This window comes from Homo sapiens, chromosome 1, assembly GCF_000001405.40.
Source record: "Homo sapiens chromosome 1, GRCh38.p14 Primary Assembly".
Classification (NCBI taxonomy): Eukaryota; Metazoa; Chordata; class Mammalia; order Primates; family Hominidae; genus Homo; species Homo sapiens.
Genome location: NC_000001.11, coordinates 155,718,085 through 155,737,452, shown reverse-complemented (window position 1 = coordinate 155,737,452; position 19,368 = coordinate 155,718,085). Strand labels below are relative to the sequence as shown.

At 44.3% G+C, this 19,368-nt stretch overlaps 1 protein-coding gene across 18 annotated transcripts in view; it reads right to left on the bottom strand.

Annotated features, from left to right (window-relative positions):
• The window catches only part of DAP3 (death associated protein 3), a 51,063-nt gene that overhangs the window by 1,558 nt on the left and 30,137 nt on the right, over positions 1-19,368 (bottom strand). For 9 of the 18 annotated variants that reach the window (XM_047430081.1, XM_047430092.1, XM_047430093.1 and 6 more), the window contains 9 exons: positions 15,835-15,936; positions 11,963-12,071; positions 11,434-11,526; positions 9,715-9,845; positions 8,331-8,411; positions 8,087-8,245; positions 6,038-6,097; positions 5,420-5,509; positions 390-507 (listed from right to left, as the gene is read on the bottom strand). In XM_047430081.1, coding sequence (XP_047286037.1) covers positions 390-507; positions 5,420-5,509; positions 6,038-6,097; positions 8,087-8,245; positions 8,331-8,411; positions 9,715-9,845; positions 11,434-11,526; positions 11,963-12,071; positions 15,835-15,936 — 943 coding nt within the window. The remainder of the gene's footprint in view (positions 1-389; positions 508-5,419; positions 5,510-6,037; positions 6,098-8,086; positions 8,246-8,330; positions 8,412-9,714; positions 9,846-11,433; positions 11,527-11,962; positions 12,072-15,834; positions 15,937-19,368) is intronic. The other 9 variants (XM_047430085.1, XM_024449700.2, XM_047430087.1 and 6 more) reach the window with 3 other exon arrangements.

Below are 19,368 nucleotides of genomic sequence, written 5' to 3'. Positions count from 1 at the left end.
ACTTAGGTGCTGGAGTAGCCCTTGCACAGTATGAATTTTTCTGTGGGTGTCCCAGCATGAGTCTCTCCAGTGAAGTCTATTGAATAAATAAATTCAATAAGGAGAATGTGGCAGGAACCCAATTACCTGGAAATTCTGCCCAGTGGATGGAGTTGCCTTTGTTCCCTTCTTTATCATGGAAAATTTAGGGATAAAATCTCTTTTGTAAATTAAACCTTAACTGCCTCCCACCCGCTTTTCTGTACCATTTATCAGCCAGAAAGAAGTCAAGATAAAGGATGAAGTACAAATTAGAGGCTGTTGTTAAGGGAAGAAGAGATCAAGGCTCTGACTGAGTGGGATTCTACTGTGATCACAAAGCCCTGATAGGAAAAAACTAAATGATGGACCTTTCTCATGTTGAAGCCAATTGTTTTCCAAATAATACTGAATACAACTTTCAAATTCCTTTGGGTTATAGTTGGAAACCAGGATGGGAATAAAGGGATCCAGGGCATCAAATCCTTCCTGGGGAAGAAAAAGGATCAGGAAACATGTTAGTTAAGGAACAAAGCACCAGACAGACAGACTCTACTTAAGCACTTTGAAGGTAAGGTATTTGTTTTTCTTCTATGTAACTCTACTTCTCATTCTCTGGCAACATTGCCTGATACAGGACTCCACATATGGACTCCACATATGGTGGCTGGCTACTCGTGCTCTACGTGGCCACAAATGCTATATATTAAAAAGAGGTGGCTGGGCACAGTGACTCACACCTGTAATCCCAGCACCTTGGGAGGCTGAGATGGGCATATTGCTTGAGCCCAGGAGTTCCAGACGAGCCTGGGCCATGTGGTAAAACCCTGTCTCGACAGAAAATACAAAAATTAGCCAGGAGTGGTGCTGCGTGCCTCTAGCCCCAGGTACTCGGGAGGCTGAGGATTGCTTGAGACCAGGAGGTTGAGATTGCAGTGAGCTGCGATTGCTCCACTACACATACTGTCACAGTATGGGTGACAGAGTAAGACCATGTCTACACACACAAAAAAAAAGGCAATGCTTGAGGAGGCGGATGCTACTTGTGTGAATACACACACATACACACGCACACACACATATTGTGTGTATGTATTTTGGACAGTTTTGGCTTTTGAAACAAAGTTAATGTTTCATATTTTCAAAGGAATATGGTGGCTCATGCTGGTAATCCCAGCACTTTGGGTGGCCAAGGAGGGCAGATCGCCTGAGGTCAGGAGTTCGAGATCAGCCTGGCCAACATGGTGAAAATACTAAAAATACAAAATTACTGTCTCTACTAAAAATACAAAAATTAGCCGGGCACGGTGGCTCATGCCTGTAATCCCAGCACTTTGGGAGGCTGAGGCGGGCAGATCACAAGGTCAGGAGTTCAAGACCTGCCTGGCCAATATGGTGAAACCCCATCTCTACTAAATTACAAAAATTAGCTGGGCGTGGTGGCATGCACCTGTCGTCCCAGCTACTCGGGAGACTGAGGCAGAAGAATTGCTTAAACTCGGGAGGTGGATGTTGCAGTGAGCCGAGATTAAGCCACTGCACTCCAGCCTGGTGACAGAGCAAGACTCCATCTCAAAAAAAAAAAAAAAAAAAAAATTAGCCAGGCGTGGTGATGCGTGCCTGTAATCCCAGCTACTTGGGAGGCTGAGGCAGGAGAATCACTTGAACCTGGGAGGTGGAGGTTGCAGTGAGCTGAGATTGCACCACTGCACTCCAGCGTGGGTGACAGAGCAAGACTTCATCTCAAATAAAATAAAATAAAAAATAAAAATAATGGGAAAAAATACGCTAGATGGAAAACAAATGGAAACAAATGAAGTAATCAAACTGTATTTCTTTTTTTTTTTTCATTTTCTTGAGACTGAGTTTTGCTCCTGTTGCCCAGGCTAGAGTGCAATGGCACGATCTCGGCTCACTGCAACCTCTGCCTCCTGGGTTCAAGCGATTCTCCTGTCTCAGCCTCACGAGTAGCTGGCATTACATGCCTGCACCACCATGCCCAGCTAATTTTTTGTATTTTTAGTAGAGACAGGATTTCATCATGTTGGCCAGGCTGGTCTTGAACTCCTGACCTCAGGTGATCCGCCCGCCCTGGCCTCCCAAAGTGCAGGGATTATAGGCGTGAGCCACTGCGCCCGGCCCAAGGAACTTATTTTTTTCTTTCTTTTTCACTGTCTCCCAGGCTGGAGTGCATTGGCACATCTTAGCTCACTGCAACCTCTGCCTCCCAGGGTCAAGCGATTCTCCCACCTCAGCCTTCGGAGTATCTGGGACTATAGGCGCCCCACCACGCCCGGCTAATTTTTTTTTCTTTTTTTTTTTTTTTCATTTTTTGGTAGAGACGGGGTTTCACCATGTTGGCCAGGCCGGTCTAGATCTCCTGACCTCGTGATCTGCCCGCCTCGGCCTCCCAAAGTGCTGGGATTATAGGCATGAGCCACCACGCCCAGCCTGAGAGCTATCAAATCTGAAACTACTTTTCATATATTCTAGTATTGAGCTAATAAGTAAATATACTATGGCTACTGGCAGCAGATTTCTCATTATTTTAGATTAGAGTTACAGATATGGAAAGGGTATAATGACTGCTGTGATGGTAGCATGGAATTGGCTACTAGTAGGAACTCATAGTTTTTTAATATGATTAGAGAAACAAACGCAGATGTGTGTGGATGTGTATAAACATGTATATGCATATGGTTCACACATATACATACATACATGTATGTATGTACATCTATTTATGAACTTTGCTGTGAGGGCCTAGGAGAAAGGACACCTCAGTAGCAGTGAGTATACCTAGGACTCAGGCCTTGGTTGCTAAATACCAGTCTCCTCTAAAATAAGCCAATGCTCTTTGGAGAAATGGAGATTCCAGGGCTGGGCATGGGAAGTATAAGAGGGGTCTGGAACATATTCTCATGACAGAAAATAAAGAAGTGGTCAAAGAATGATAGGAGCTGGATATGGTGGCTCACGCCAGTAATCCCAGCACTTTAGGAGGCCGAGGTGGGAGGATTGCCTGAGGCTAGCAGTTCAAGACCACCCTAGGCAACAACATAGTTAAGACCATGCCTCTAAAAAAAAAAAGGAAAGAAAAGAAAAAGACAACATTCAGTGCTGGGTGTGGTGGCATGTGCTCAAGGCTACAGTGAGCTATGATGGTGCTACTGCACTACAGCCTGGGTGACAGAGTGAGACCCTATCTCCAAAAAAATAATGATGGGGACATTTTAAAAGGATATAGAAGTTAGCTTGAAGGAGCTTTTTTTCCTGTTGAGATAGGGCCGCACTCTATTGCCCAGGCTGGAGTACACTGGCAAAATCAGGGCCCACTACAGCCTTGACCTCCCGGGCTCAAGCGATCCTCCCACCTCAGTCTCCAGAGTAGCTGTGACTACAGGTGAATGCCACCATGCCCAGCTAGTTTTAAAATTTTTTTTTGTAGAGATGGGGTCTCACTTTGTTGCCCAGGCTGGTCTCAAACTCCTGAGCTCAAGGGATCCTTCTGCCTTGGCCTCCCAAAGTGCTGTGATTACAGCTGTGAGCTACCAAGCCTGGCCATGAAGGAATTGTTTTTTTGTTTTTTGTTTTTCTTGAGACGGAGTCTTGCTTTGTGGCTCAGGCTGGAGTGTAATGGCACAATCTTGGTTCACTGCAACCTCCGCCTCCTGGGTTCAACCGATTCTTCTGCCTCAGCCTCCAGAGTAACTGGGACTATAGGCACGCACCACCACACCTGGCTAATTTTTACATTTTTAGTAGAGACAGGATTTCACCATATTGGCCAGGCTGGTCTTGAACTCCTGACCTCGTGATCCACCCGCCTTGGCCTCCCAAAGTGCTGGGATTACAGACGTGAGCCATCACACCCGGCCAATGAAGGAATTTTTAATGGCCAAATCTAAGATGATTTGAGCACCAAAATAAAAAGTGACAGTAATGATTTAGATTCTATTAAATAAAAATCCACAAGACCATACCAGCTGCGGAGGCTCCATGCCAGGTATAACTAAAGTAATGGATACTAAAACCAGTAGGTGGAAGTTTGAGAAGTAACAGGATCTTTACCTAGTCTCAAAGTATATCTCTACAACATACATATTAATTCCAAAGCAAAATAATAACTTTACTGAAGAGAAACCAGATGGACAACACCTCAGCTAACAGTTCCAAAATCATTACCAGTAATGGGAGAAATGTGCCTCCTGATAGGATGCACTCACTCAGACATGTCATCACTTCTAACATCACTTCTATTCAGGAGGAAACCTCAGACAACCCCAAAAAGTGACCTACAAAATAGCTGGCATGCACATGCCAAAAACATAAAGATTTCAAATGACAAAGACTGACAGACTGTCACAGATTAAAGGAGACCAAAGAGACATGACAACTTTTTCTTTTTTTTGAGACGGAGTCTCGCTCTGTCACCCACGCTGTAGTGCAGTGGCGCAATCTCGGCTCACTGCAACCTCCACCTCCCGGGTTCAAGCGATTCTCCTACCTCGGCCTCCTGAGTAGCTGGGATTACAGCCACGCGCCACGACGCCTGGCTAATTTTTTGTATTTTTAGTAGAGACGGGGTTTCACCATGTTAGCCAGGATGGTCTCGATCTCCTGACCTCATGATCCGCCTGCCTCGGCCTCCCAAAGTGCTGGGATTACAGGCATGAGCCACCGCACCCAGCCAGAGACATGACAACTTAATGTAACACATTATCTGGGATTTATTTTTCTATAAAAGATACTGGGATAACTGGCTACATCAGAATAAATCCCACCAATTAGGTAAAAGTATGATATCAATGTCAATTTTCTGACTTTGATAATTATGCTCAGGGTATATTAGAGTATCTTTGTTCTTAGGAATGAGACATTATTTGGAGACAAAGAAGCATCAAGGCCAGGCGCCGTGGCTCACGCCTATAATCCTAGCACTTTGGGAGGCTGAGGTAGGCGGATCACTTGAGGTCAGGAGCTTGAAACCAGCCTGGCCAACATGGTGAAACCTCGTCTCTACTAAAAATACAAAAAATTAGCTGGGCGTGGTAGTGGACGCCTGTAATCCCAGCTACTTAGGAGGCCGAGACAGGAGAATCACTTGAACCCGGAAGGCGGAGGTTGCAGTGAGCCGAAATTGCGCCATTGCACTCAAGCCTGGTTGACAGAGCAAGACTCCGTCTCAAAAAAAAAAAAAAGAAAAGAAACTCTGGAGAAAGACGGAGACGGATAAAGCAATGATGATCAAGTTAATATTTTAGGAATCCAGGGGAAGGGCATACAGGAATATGATTTTTCTCTAAGTCTGAAATTATGTCAAAATACATAGATTAATAAAAATATTTTTCTTTAAACAGGATAACAATCTAAGTAGAAACAAATTTTCCTTTGACTTGACCTTTCCCAGCAACTCCTGGGGCAGATAGGCTTTCCGGGGCTTAAAGAGAGACCCAGTCTGGCTCAAAGCCGACACAATGGCGCCTCCATGCTGAAAGAAAAGAGAAAAGGCTGAACTGGAAAAAGTTAAAAAGGATGGAAAACTGCATTAATCATCTGTAGATTTTTTTTTTCTTTCTTGGGCATACAGTGTTACAAAAGTGTGGTCTAGCACAGTTAAATGGCAACTAAATTGGTTATTCCAGATTTGGCTCTGACAATAAACTGCTACCTGATTTTAAATTTACCATGACATATTTGTGGGTCTCAAACTCTTTTCCAAAGACGGTAAGGAGATACAAAAACACTTTAAATGTCTGCAAGCAAAATAAAATTAGGCCAATATTTAAATAAAATGGTTTTGAATAAACTTACTTTGGAAAGATTATAAACCACATATATATAGATTTTAATTCAGACTTTATTTCTAACTTGGTACAGATACAGGAATTAAATAAGACATAATAACTTACTGTCCATAAAATTAGAGACTGTAAAGTATTAGCAATGAAATAGTAGAACATGTTTAAAATGATAATACATTTCTTTCTGAAATGTGTGAGGTATCATATGCACTTACCCAATCATTTTTCATCATTTTCCTCAAGTTGTGAACAAGTGCTAATTCCTCGGGGGCAATCTGCATATCGGACAGAAAGAGAGAAGAGATCATCACGTGCCTTTCCTAGATGTTCTCCCGAAACAATTGACAACAATTTTTTTTTTTTTTTGACAGAGTCTCGCTCTGTCGCCCAGGCTGGAGTGCAGTGGCGCGATTTGGGCTCACTGCAACCTCCACCTCCTGGGTTCAAGCGATTCTCCTGCCTCAGCCTCCTGAGTAGCTGGGACTATAGGCGCGCGCCACCAGAGCCTAATTTTTTTGTATTTTTAGTAGAGACAGGGTTTCCCCGTGTTAGCCAGGACGGTCTCAAACTCCTGACCTTGTGATCCACCCACCTCGGCCTACCAAAGTGCTGGGATTACAAGCATGAGCCACTGCACCTGGTGACAACAATTTTTTTAAAACCCTCAACTAAGACATAATTGTATACCTGAAGGTACTCCCTCTAGGATAAGCCACGTAGCCTCTGGCCCTAGAACTGCCATGCTTCTGGAGATTAACAGTCACTGAGAAAAACACCCACTGCCCCAAACCAGCCCCATTTTGATGCTTCTGATCTCCTCTGCTTAGACCATCTAGACTCATTTTGAAAAAAGAATCAAAAGACAGATAAAAATTAAGAAAGAAAACATAGCTTCTGCTGTCATTCTCTTTCCACAACATACTCCCTTAGTTTTCAATGAATAGTGGAACTCTTGGCATTACCTCCTCCTCTGATTCCATTTTACTGTTTATCTTTTCTTTTTTTTTATTTTTTTGAGACAGAGTCTCATTCTGTTGCCCAGCCTGGAATGCAGTGGCACGATCTCCACTCATTGCGGGCTCTGCCTCTTGGGCTCAAGCCATCCTCCCATCTTAGCCTTCCAAGTAGCTGGAGCTACATACAGGTGCAAACCACCATGCCCAGCTAGTTTTTTATATTTTTTGTAGGGACAGGGTTTCACTGTGCTGCCCAGGCTGACCTCAAACTCCAAACTCCTGGACTCAAGCAAATCACCTCTTGGCCTCCTAAAAGTGCTGGGATTTATCAGCCATCACACCAGGCCTTGCTGTTTATCTTCACATATATATACGAATATGTATGTGTGCATATGCATATACGAATATGTATGTGTGCATATATACGTATATATACATATATACATATATGAATATTATATATACATATATACATATATGAATATTATATATACATATATGAACATATAGGTATATTCGTATATTATGAAAACATATGAATATATGTATATATAAATATATATGAATATATGTGTGTATATATACATATATGAATATATATGTGTGTATATATACATATATATGAATATATATATATGGCGATCTCGGCTCACTGCAACCTCCGCCTCCTGGGTTCAAGCGATTCTCCTGCCTCAGCCTCCCGAGTAACTGGGATTACAGTCATGCACCACCATGCCCGGCTAATTTTGTATTTTTAGTAGAGATGGGTTTCTCCATGTTGGTCAGGCTGGTCTCGAACTCCAAGCTCAGGTGATCCGCCCGCCTCAGCCTCCCCAAGTGCTGGGATTACAGGCATGAGCCACTGTGCCCAGCCATATATATATTTTTTAAGAGACAGGATTTCACTCTGTCACCCAGGTTGGTGTGCAGTGTTGCAATCATGCCACACTACAACCTTGAACTCCAGGGCTCAAGTGATCCTCTGGCCTCAGCCTTCCAGTAGCAGTGACTACAGGTGTGTGCCACCATGCCAGCTACCGGCTAATTTCTTATTTTTTTAGAGGCAGGGGCCTTGCTATAGTGCCCATCCTAGTCTTGAACTCCTGGCCTCAAGCGATCCTCCCACCTCAGCCTCGTGAGCCAATGGGATTACAGGCGTGAGCCACTGCACCCAGCTCTTTACTGTTTATCTTCAAATATTCCTAGGGCAAGAAAACATATTGCATGGTCTACAAGGCTAAGACCCAGCCTCCATACTGATGGAATCAGAAATCAGAGAAACAAGATAGAGACACCCAGTTTTCCTACCGGGCTTTTATCTTCTCTTTTCAGAGTGGTTCTTCCCCAAAGAGCATTGATTCCATCCACGGCCACTAGGAGGTGAAACATACCCAAAGAACTTTGCCTCTTTAGCTCTTTCAGCACAATTCCAACTGCATCTGTGGCGTTCCTCACCCGTGTTATGCCCTATTGGGAGAGACAGTGGATTGTAGTGCTACCAGAGGCCTTCTCTTGTTATCGCATGTTACACATTCAGTGTTTTTTCTTATACCTGTTCAACCACTTCTCCCAGAGGACTCCCTTTCTCAGTGCTTTCTCTCTTATTCCAGACATACTTCTCTTGAACTTTTATCTAAAAGCAAGCAAAGAAAATAAAAACCAAAAAAAAGGCTACTTGGCCTAAGGGTGAAACCATCCCTTGAAAAGGTTGGAGGCTAAGGTTAACAGGAGTTCATTTTAATCTATTGTTCAGGTTCTGTAAGAGACCTCAATGTAGAAGTGAATGCTTTCTTTTCTTTCTTTTTTTTTTTTTTTGAGACAGCTTCTTTCTCTGTAACCCAGGCTGAAGTGCAGTGGCATGATCTCAGCTCGCTGCAACATCCACCTCCCAGGTTTAAGGGATTCTCTTGCCTCAGCCTCCCAAGTAGCTGGGATTTCAGGCGTGTGTCACCACGCCTGGCTAATTTTTGTATTTTTAGTAGAGATGGGGTTTCGCCATGTTGGCCAGGCTGGTCTAGAATTCCTGACCTCAGGTGATCTGCCCACCTCGGCCTCCCAAAATGCTGGAATTACATGTCTGAGCCACACGCCTGACCTCTTTTATCTTTTTTTTGAGACCATATCTCGCTCTGTTACCCAGGCTGGAGTACAATGGCGCTATCTCGGCTCACTGAAACCTCTGATTCCCAGGTTCAAGAGATTCCCCTGCCTCAGCCTCCTGAATAGATGGGCCTACAGGCGTGCACCACCACACCCGGCTAATATTTGTATTTTTAGTAGAGATGGGATTTCACCATGTTGGCCAGGCTCATCTTGAACTCCTGACCTCAGGTGATCTGCCTGCCTTGGCCTCCCAAAGTGCTGACATTACAGGTGTGAGCCCCTGTGCCTGACCAAAGTGAATGCTTTCTAATCCATTTCTGCTTGGAGCCTTGAATAAACATACATAAGGGATTCTGATGAAAATGTCCAGAATGAGACTCTGGCATCTGCATTTTTAACAAGCTCTTAGGTGACTCTGCTTTATATCCAGAGTTGAAGGCCCCTGGTCTAGACAGGGTATCTAAGAATCACCAGGGTAAAGAAGAATTTTTCCAATACATTTCTGGTTCCCTAAAAAGATATTGTCTGGAGAAAATCATGTAGTTGGAAATGTGCTTGCGAGGGATTGGAGGCTGTACCTTGAAAAGTCAATGAATCAACTGGATTTCACTTTGCTACCCACAAAATGGGAACAACTTACTGTTGCCTATTTATTTCACATGGATAAATGAGTTTCAAGTTATGAGTCCACTGTGAGCAAAACGTATGAAAGAAATTAAAAATGATACAGTTATTCCAACTCCAGTATCAGTTCTCCATAGTCTATTGGTACTCAGGGCACAAAGAATCCATGTAAGGACTACCTAGCACTCAACTTCTGGGAGTCTAGTCACCTGGTTCAGGAAGCGCTCATTTGTAGTTTTGAAATTCTTCAGCCAGGTTGAAGCCTCTAAAGGTTGATCAAAGCGCTGTTTGTTGTAGCTGGACTGCAGAAGATCCCGACAATTTTTCACCCAAAGATGAGCTTTAAAAAAAAGAGGCAGAAGAAAACAAGCCAGGCAGAAACTGTATTCAACTCGAAATATTCTATGCCTCTTTTAAGTTATGGGAAATGACTTTAGTTTCTCATATATATATTTCTTTTCTTTTTTTTTTTTTTTTTTGAGACAGGGTCTTGCTCTGTCACCCAGGCTAGAAGGCAGGATGTGATCACAGTTCACTGTAACCTTGAACTCCTAGGCTCAGGCAATCATCCTGCCTCAGCCTCTCAAAGTGCTGTTGAACCACTATGCCTGGCCTTGTCAGGTCCATCTTAGACTAAACATTATCATTAGAATCAATATATAAAACATACCAAGTGTATTAAATATCACTTCTGCTTTCTGGCAGGTTTGAAAGGTAAGTCAGAAAATGTGGATGTTACATAAGCAGGGTTGTTTAAAAAAGAAAGAAAATGTGGATGCACACAACACTGAACAAAAAAGAGACAAATGCAAGTTTTGACAATCCATACTGACGACTCTAGAATGCTGATAAATAGTAAAAGGCTCTATGGGTACTCAGGACTGTTAACAGATGGCAAAAACAAAACAAAACAAAACAAAACAAAACTCCATGGCGACCTCTAAGGCAGAAGTTTATGTCCATGGGTATTAAATATCAAAAGAAGGACTGCTTAGCATCAAAAGGCTTCAGGAAGCTTTTAGCCGAATTTCCTTTTGTCACATTGACTTCACCTTATAATCTGCTTGGCAGTAATATCACGAAGAAATCATGATGGATGAGCTCAGTCTGCTCTACATCTGGAGTAAAGGCTTTTCTTCTTCTTCTTTTTTTTTTTTTTTTTTGAGACAGGGTCTTGCTTTGTTGCCCACGCTAGAGTGTAGTGGTGCGATCACAGCTCACTGCAGCCTCCTCCTGGGCTCTAAGCAATATTCCAGCCTCAGCCTCCCAAAGTGCTGGGATTATAGGTTTGAGCCATCGTGACTGGCAAAGGCTTTTCCTTTAGCTATCAGATCCCTGTTAGGAAAGTAAAGCTGAGGCCGGGTGCAATGGCTCATGCCTGTAATCCCAGCACTTTGGGAGGCCAAGGCAGGTGGATCACCTGAAGTCAGGAGTTCGAGACCAGCCTGGCCAACATGGTGAAACCCTGTCTCTACTAAAAATACAAAAAAAATTAGCCGGGCATGGTGGCGGGCGCCTGTAGTCCCAGCTACTCAGGAGGCTGAGGCAGAAGAATGGTGTGAACCCGGGAGGCGGAGCTTGCAGTGAGCTGAGATCGTGCCACTGCACTCCAGCCTGGGCGACAGAGCAAGACTCCGTCTCAAAAAAAAAAAAAAAAAAAAATTAGCTGGGCGTGGTGGTGTGGTGGGCGCCTGTAATCCCAGCTACTTGGGAGGCTGAGGCAGGAGAATCTCTTGAGCCTGGGAGGCGGAGGTTGCGGTGACCTGAGATTGCGCCTCTGCACTCCAGACTGGCCGACAAGAGCGAAACTCCATCTCAAAAAAAAAAAAAAAAAGAAAAGAAAAGAAAAGAAAATTAAAGCTGCAAGGCTACCACAGTAACAGGATAACTAAACCTAACAGACAGAAGAAACAACAGGAAGTTCTTACCATCTGGAATATGTAGTATCAGCCAGTCCTGTTTTGCACAGAAATGAATAACATGGCAAAGACTTAGGGTTTTTCCTGTTCCCTTCTCTCCATCTAAAGTATATGTTGTTAAAGAAAACATGACTGGAAGGATCACTTGTATGTGAACAGTAGTTATGCTTTGTTTTGTTTTTTTGAGATGGGGTTGGAGTGCAGTGGCTTGATATCAGCTCACAGCAACCTCCGCTTCCCGGGTTCAAGCGATTCTCCTGCCTCAGCTTCCCAAGTAGCTGGGATTACAGGTGCACGCTACCACACCCGGCTAATATATTGCATTTTTAGTAAATGCGGGGTTTCGCCATGTTGGCCAGGCAGGTCTTGAACTCCTGACTTCAGGCGATACGCCTGCCTCGGCTTCCCAAACTCCTGGGATTATAGGTGTGAGCTACCATGCCCGGCCTCAACAGTACTTTTTTTCATTTCTTCTGTTGCCTTATTTGAGGGGAGAAAGCATTGGTTCATGAGGGTCCACGCAGGCAGGAAAGGATACACAGAAGATATCGTATAGCTGGATAAGCAAAACTGGTGTTTTTCAGGTAATGCAGAAGTTCTAGGGCTGGTTTCCTTACCATCAGGCAAGCTTCACTGAATGTCTTCACCTGATAAAGTAGGAAAGAAGGAAAGAGTGGGTGGGTGTGGAAGGAGTGGGTGGGGGGTGGTATATATACTCTGCCTAAAGTGGCAACCAAGACCATCAGATTGCATGCCTCTAATTTACTCAGTTAGGAGAAGCTGGGTTGGTACTGAGTTTGAAAATCTATCCATATAACTTAGCTAAAAACTGAAATACATTATTCCGCACTAAGTAACATGATAGTCAGCTTTTGATTATTCCTATTACTGAAGCATATATTCTATCTCAGCTGAAATCTATAAATAATTGATATATCTCATAACAAAATTATGTATACCACTTAGGGCCACTGTAAATATGGAAAGCATATAGAAAAATGCTTAAAATTTCTGACACAAGTTAATAATTCAATAAACATTAACTCTTTAAATTTTTTTTCTTTTTTTTTTTTTGAGACGGAGTTTCACTCTTGTTGCCCAGGCTGGAGTGCAATGGCACGATCTCGGCTCACCACAACCTCTGCCTCCCAGTTCAAGTGATTCTCCTGCCTCAGCCTCCCGAGTAGCTGGGATTACAGGCACCCACCACCATGCCCGGCTATTTTGTATTTTTAGTACAGAAGGAGTTTCTCCATGTTGGTCAGGCTGGTCTCAAACTCCCGACCTCAGGTGACACCCCCGTCTTGGCCTCCCAAAGTGCAGGGATTACAGGCGTGAGCCACTGCACCTGGCCTAAAATTTATTTTTAGTTGATTTTTTTTTTTTTTCTTTTTTTGAGACAGAGTCTCACTCTGTCACCCAGGCTAGAGTGCAGTGGTGTGATCTCGGCTCACTGCAACCTCCGCCTCCGGGGTTCAAGCAATTCTTCTGCCTCAGTCTCCTCAGTAGCTGGGATTACAGGTGCCACCACCATGCCAGGCTGATTTTTGTAATTTTAGTAGAGACAGGCTTTCACCATGTTGGTCAGGCTGGTCTCGAACTCCTGACCTCATGATCCACCCGTCTCAGCCTCCCAAGGTGCTGGGATTATAGGCGTGAGCCACCGCACCTGGCCTAAAATTTATTTTTATTACTTTAACCATTTAGACTTTTTTCTCTAGAACTAAATACATGGCGGCTCAGGAGCAGGTGTGACCAGCTGCCTCACAACTCTAAGGCCATCCATACCTCATACCTCCAGCATACTAACCTTTCAGAGTTTAATTCCCCTTTTGCTACCAGAATACTTTGGTGGGAAATTTGGGAAGTACTAATGTGTGTGAAACTGATTTGCAAAGAAAATATTAAAATATGTCTACTAATAAGAATATCTAACAAATACTGTTTGTAAGTATAACTAAAATAGTGTTAATTTTTTTTTTTTTTTTTTGAGACAGAGTCTCGCTCTGTCGCACAGGCTGGAGTGCAGTGACACGATCTCAGCTCACTGCAACCTCCGCCTCCCGGGTTCAAGCGATTCTCCTGCTTCAGCCTCACAAGTAGCTGTGACTACAGGCGTGTGCCACCACGCCCAGCTAATTTTTGTATTTTTAGTAGAGATGGAGTTTCACCATGTTGGCCAGGCTCATCTTGAACTCCTGGCCTTAAGTAATCTGCCCACCTCAGCTTCCCAAAGTGCTGGAATTACAGGCGTGAGCCATTGTACCCAGCCAGTGTTGATATTTTTAAAAGAAATCCTAACAAAACAATTGAATTGGTGTAGGATTTGACAGGCAATTCCAAACTTAATGGAAGGCTCAATGTTCAAAAAAACATGATAAAGGTATTAAAACAAATGTTGGCTGGGCGTGGTGGCTCATCCCTGTAATCCCAGCACTTTGGGAGGCCAAGACAGGTGGATCACCTGAGGTTAGGAGTTGGAGACCAGCCTGGCCAATATGGCAAATCCCCATGTCTACTAAAAATATAAAAATTAGCCAGGCGTGGTGGCGAGCACCTGTAATCCCAGCTCTTTGGGAGGCTGAGGCAGGAGAATCACTTGAACCCAGGAGGCGTAGGTTGCAGTGAGCTGAGATCGCATCACTGCATTCCAGCCTGGGCGACAAAAGTGAAACTCCATTTCAAAAAAAAGTCACATCAGGGCTGGGAGCTGTGGCTCACACCTGTAATCCCAGCACTTTGAGATGCCAATACAGGAGGATCGCTTGAGCCCAGGAGGTCAGAGATGTAGAGTGTGCTGTGGGCTGTGGTCACGCCACTGTACTCCAGCCTGGTTGTCAGAGTGAGACCCTGTCTCTATAATTAAAATAATAGTAATAAAATAAAGTCAGCTACCCTGGGCACACTGTCCGTGAGTTAGGTCTGCTCCAAAAGGAGCAGTATTTAAAAAAAAAAAAGTCATATTAGGCAGTATGACAATGCTAATATCCACAAACAATGGTGAGGAAGTAGGCCTTCATGTAAATGAAAATTATGAAAAGAACCTGTAAGTTCTTACAGAGCATTGTTGGTTAAGCCAGTCTGAAAACAACTTCAAATAGTTAATTAAAGATAGAACCTCACAGCTCTGAAGCTGAATAAACATTGTACTGTGTATGTCTTGGAACAGTTTAAAGTGCCACTGCAGATGATTTCTTCAACAAAATTTTTTTTAATTAAAATTGTTTTTTGGAGACAGGGTCTCACTCTGTTGTCTGAGTTGGAGTGCCGTGGCACTATCGTAGCTCACTGCAGCCTGAACTCCTGGGCTCAAGCCATCCTCCTGCCTCAGCCTCCGAAGCAGCTACCACACATGACTAAATGTTTTTCTTTTTTTTTGAGTGAGCAGCAGCAAGATTTATTGAGAAGAGCAAAAGAACAAAGCTTCCACAGTGTGGAAGGGGACCCGAGAGGGTTGCCCATGTTTTTCTTTTCTAAATAAAGATACAGTCTCATTATATTGCCCAGCTGGTCTTGAACTCCTGCGCTCAAACAATCCTCCCACCTTCACCTCCCAAAGTGCTGAGACTACAGGCATAAACTACCTTGCCTGGCCTGTTATACCTTATTTTATTTTATGCTTGAGATAAGGTCTTGCTCTGTTGCCCAGGCTGGGGTACAGTGGTGCAATCATGGCTCACTGAAGCCCTCACCTCCTGAGCTCAAGCGATCCTCCAACCTCAGCCACCTGAGTAGCTGTGACTACAGGTGTGCATCATGCCCAGCTAATTTTTAATTTTTAATTTTTGTAGAGACAGGTCTCCCTATGTTGCCTAGACTGGTCTCGAACTCCTGGGCCCAAGTGATCCTTCCACCTTGGCCTCCCAAAGTGCAGCTGGGATTACAGGCGTGAGCCATAGCGCCCGGCCTGTTATGCCCTTATTATTCATCTAATTTCCCGAAATAAACCACACTAAAGAAATGAGATCCTCTGGCTCGCATGCTAAAACTCACCTGCACAGGCAAGTTTGATAACATTTTCACAAAATCCACAAGAGAATAAAAACCAATGCATCTAATCAAAATATTGCTTCTATTTAGCTCAGGAGTGTACTATGATTTTGCTTTTGTGCAGCATATTAACTATTTTCATGATATTTTGCCAAGGCAAATTTTAAGTTCATTTAAAACAGTTATTTGATGCTGAAATTACTGGAATCTTCTTGGGCTATACAAGGAGGAAAACATCAATATTGTTTAAACATGAGCTTAAAGTAATTGTACTAGTCACAAAAGGTAATCAACACATGAATTTCTGTTTTTCAGATTAAATTTCATCTTTTTAAATTTTCTTCTCATTTAGCCCCACCCCTTTGCTAGCAGCAGCTTGTATTCTGGGCTCCCTCCAATTCCATTCCCTGTCTTGAGCACCTGCATCACAAAGCGAGGAGGAAGGCCATGGGGAAATACAGTCTCCAAATCCTGGGGGGAGATGTTGTAGTGCTGACCCTCGTGCTGATCCCCATGCTTGGCCTAGGAAATAAGAGTGCAAACAGGTATAATGGTGACAAAGTGACCAAGACTTTCTTTTTTGTCTTATCTATGTGTGTGTATATATGTATGTCTATGTGTATATATATATATATATACATACATACATATATATATACACATACATACATATATATATACACATACATATATATATATTATTTTTAAAATGGAGTTTTACTTTTGTCACCCAGGCAGGAGTGCAATGGTGCGATCTTAGCTCACTGCAACCTCCGCCTCCTGGGTACAAGCAATTCTCCTACCTCAGCCTCCCAGTAGCTGGCATTACAATCTGCCACCGCACCCGGCTAATTTTTGTATTTCTAGTAGAGACGGGGTTTCACCATGTTGGCCAGGCTGGTCTTAAACTCCTGACCTCAGGTGATCTGCCTGCCTCAGCCTCCCAAAATGCTGCGATTACAGGGTGAGCCATCTTGCCCAGCCTTGTCTTCTTTTTTTTTTGAGACAGAGTCTCGCTCTGTCACCCAGGCTGGAGTGCAATGGTGTAATCTCGGCTCACTGCAACCCCCGCCTCCCAGGTTCAAGAGATTCTCCTGCCTCAGCCTCCCGAGCATCTGGGACTACAGGCACGCGCCACCACGCCCAGCTAATTTTTGTATTTTTAGTAGAGATGGGATTTCACCATGTTGACCAGGATGGTCTTGATCTCTTGACCTCGTGATCCGCTCACCTCGACCTCCCAAAGTGCTGGGATTACAGGCGTGAGCCACAGCGCCTAGCCCAGCCTTGTCTTTTTATCTGTGACCAAGACTTTGAAAATTGGATAAGGCCTGCTATTCACTCATGTCTTTATGTGTTTTTTTTGGTTTGTTTGTTTTGTTTTTTTTTTGAGATGGAGTTTCACTCTTGTTGCCCAGGCCGAAGTGTAATGGCGCGATCTTGGCTCACCACAACCTCCGCCTCCCGGGTTCAACCAATTCTCCTGCCTCACCCTCCCAAGTAGCTAGGATCACAGGCATGTGCCACCATGCCTGGCTAATTTTGTATTTTTAGTAGAGACAGGGTTTCTCCATGTTTAGTAGAGACAGGCTGGTCTTGAACTCCCGACCTCAAGTGATCCACCTGCCTCAGCTTCCCAAAGTGCTGGGATTACAGGCGTGAGCCACTGCACCCGGCCTTTATGTCTTTTTTTTTTTTTTTTTTTTTTTTTTTTGAGACAAGATCTTGCTCGGTTTACCAGGCTGGAATGCAGTGGTACAATCACGGCTCACTGAGGCCTCCAATTCCCAGGCTCAAGAGATCCTCCCGCCTCAGCCTCACAAGTAGCTGGGACCACAGGTGTGCACCACTACACCTGGCTCATTTTTTTACTTTTTTGGTAGAGATGAGGTCTTGCTATGTTGCCCAGGTTGGTCTTGAACTCCTGAGCTCAAGTGATCCTCCCACTTTGGCCTCTCAGTGTTGGGATTACAGGCGTGAGCCACTGCACCTGGACCACTCATCTCTTAAAGCTGGAAAAGATATCTCCCATTGTTTTGAGAAAGCCTGTTGCCCAGACTGGAGTGCAGTGGCCTGATCTCAGCTGACTATAGCCTTGACCTCCTGGGCTCAAGTGATCCTTGTACCTAAACCTCTCGAGTAGCTGGGACTACAGGCGCATGCCACTATGCACTGCTAATTGAAAAACTTTTGGCCGAGTGCAGTGGCTCATGCCTGTCATCCCAGCACTATGGGAGGCCAAGGTGGGTGGATTATGAGGTCAGGAGTTCAAGACCAGCCTGGCCAAGAGGGTGAAAGCCTGTCTCTACAAAAAATACAAAAAATTAGCCAGGCACGGTGGCAGGCGCCTGTAATCCCAGCTATTCGGGAGGCTGAGGCAGAGAACTGCTTGAACCCGGGAGGTGGAGGATGCAGGGAGCCAAGATCACGCCACTGCACTCCAGCCTGGGTGACAGAGCAAGGCTCCGTCTAAAAAAAAGAAAAAGAAAAAGAAAATTTTTTTGGCTGGGCACAGTGGCTCATGCCTGTAATCCCAGCACTTTAGGAGGCCAAGGTGAGCGGATTGCCTGAGGTCAGGAATTCAAGACCAGCCTGGCCAACATGGTAAAACCCCATCTGTACTAAAAATACAAAACTTAGCCAGGCATGGTGGTGGATGCCTGTAATCACAGCTACTTGGGAGGCTGAGACAGGAAAATCATTTAAACCCAGGAGGTGGAGGTTGCAGTGAGACGAGACTGCGCCATTGCACTCCAGCCTGGGCAAGAAGAGTGAAACTCTGTCTCAAAAAAAAAAAAAAAAAAATTGTTTTAGAGTTAGGGTCTTGCTATGTTGCCTAGGCTAGTCTAGAACTCCTAAGCTCAAGTGATCCTCCCACCTAGGCCTCCCAAAGTCCTGGGATTACAGGCATAAGCTACTGTGCCCAGCCTCATTTATCTTAGCCAAGAATGCTGGTTGCTGCCCTCAAACCCAGTATGTATATAAAAGTGGTGGCCCAAATAATGAAGCCAATTGCTCATCAAAGTAAACCGTAGATGTAGGGGTAGCAAAGACAATTCTTGCCATCTGGATTCTTCTGTGCTGTGTATAGAGATGCTCCAGTCATGTGACAAGATCATCTGCATGCTGCTGTTTCCATAGAAACCCCAGAGGAATTGGCAGATAAAAGGACTGCAATTACAAAGAAAGCTGAAAAGACACTTCAGTGGCTTGATTCATTTATTCTACTTCATTTTGTGTTTGTGAAAAGAGGTGAATGGTATATATATATATCTTCATCTATATCTATATCTATCTATCTATCTATCTATCTATCTATCTATCTATCTATCTTTCTTTCTTTTTTTTTTTTTGAGACAGAGTCTTGCACTGTCGCCCAGGCTGGAGTGCAGTAGCACGATCTCAGCTCACTGCAAGCTCCACCTCCAGGTTCATACCATTCTCCTGCCTCAGTCTCCCGAGTAGCTAGGACTACAGGCGCCCGCCACCATGCTCAACTAATTTTTTTTTGTATTTTTAGTAGAGATGGGGTCTCACTGTGTTAGCCAGGATGGTCTCAGTCTCCTGACCTCATGATCCGCCTGCCTTGGCTTCCCAAAATGCTGGGATTACAGGCGTGAGCCACCTCACTCAGCCATATATATATACTTTTTAAGACAGAGTCTTGCTCTCTTGCCCAGCCTGGAGTGCAGTGGCGCGATCTTGGCTCACTGCAACTTCTGCCTCCTGGGTTCAAGCAATTCTCCTGCCTCAGCCTCCTGAGTAGCTGGGATTACAGGTGCCCGCCACCACACCCAGCTAATTTTAGTATTTTTAGTAGAGACAGGCTTTCGCCATGTTGGCTAGGCTGGTCTAGAACTCCTGACCTCAAGTGATCCTCCTGCCTCGGCCTCCCAAAATGCTAGGATGACAGTCGTGAGCCACCCCGCATGGCCGAAGCCTAGAGATATATTT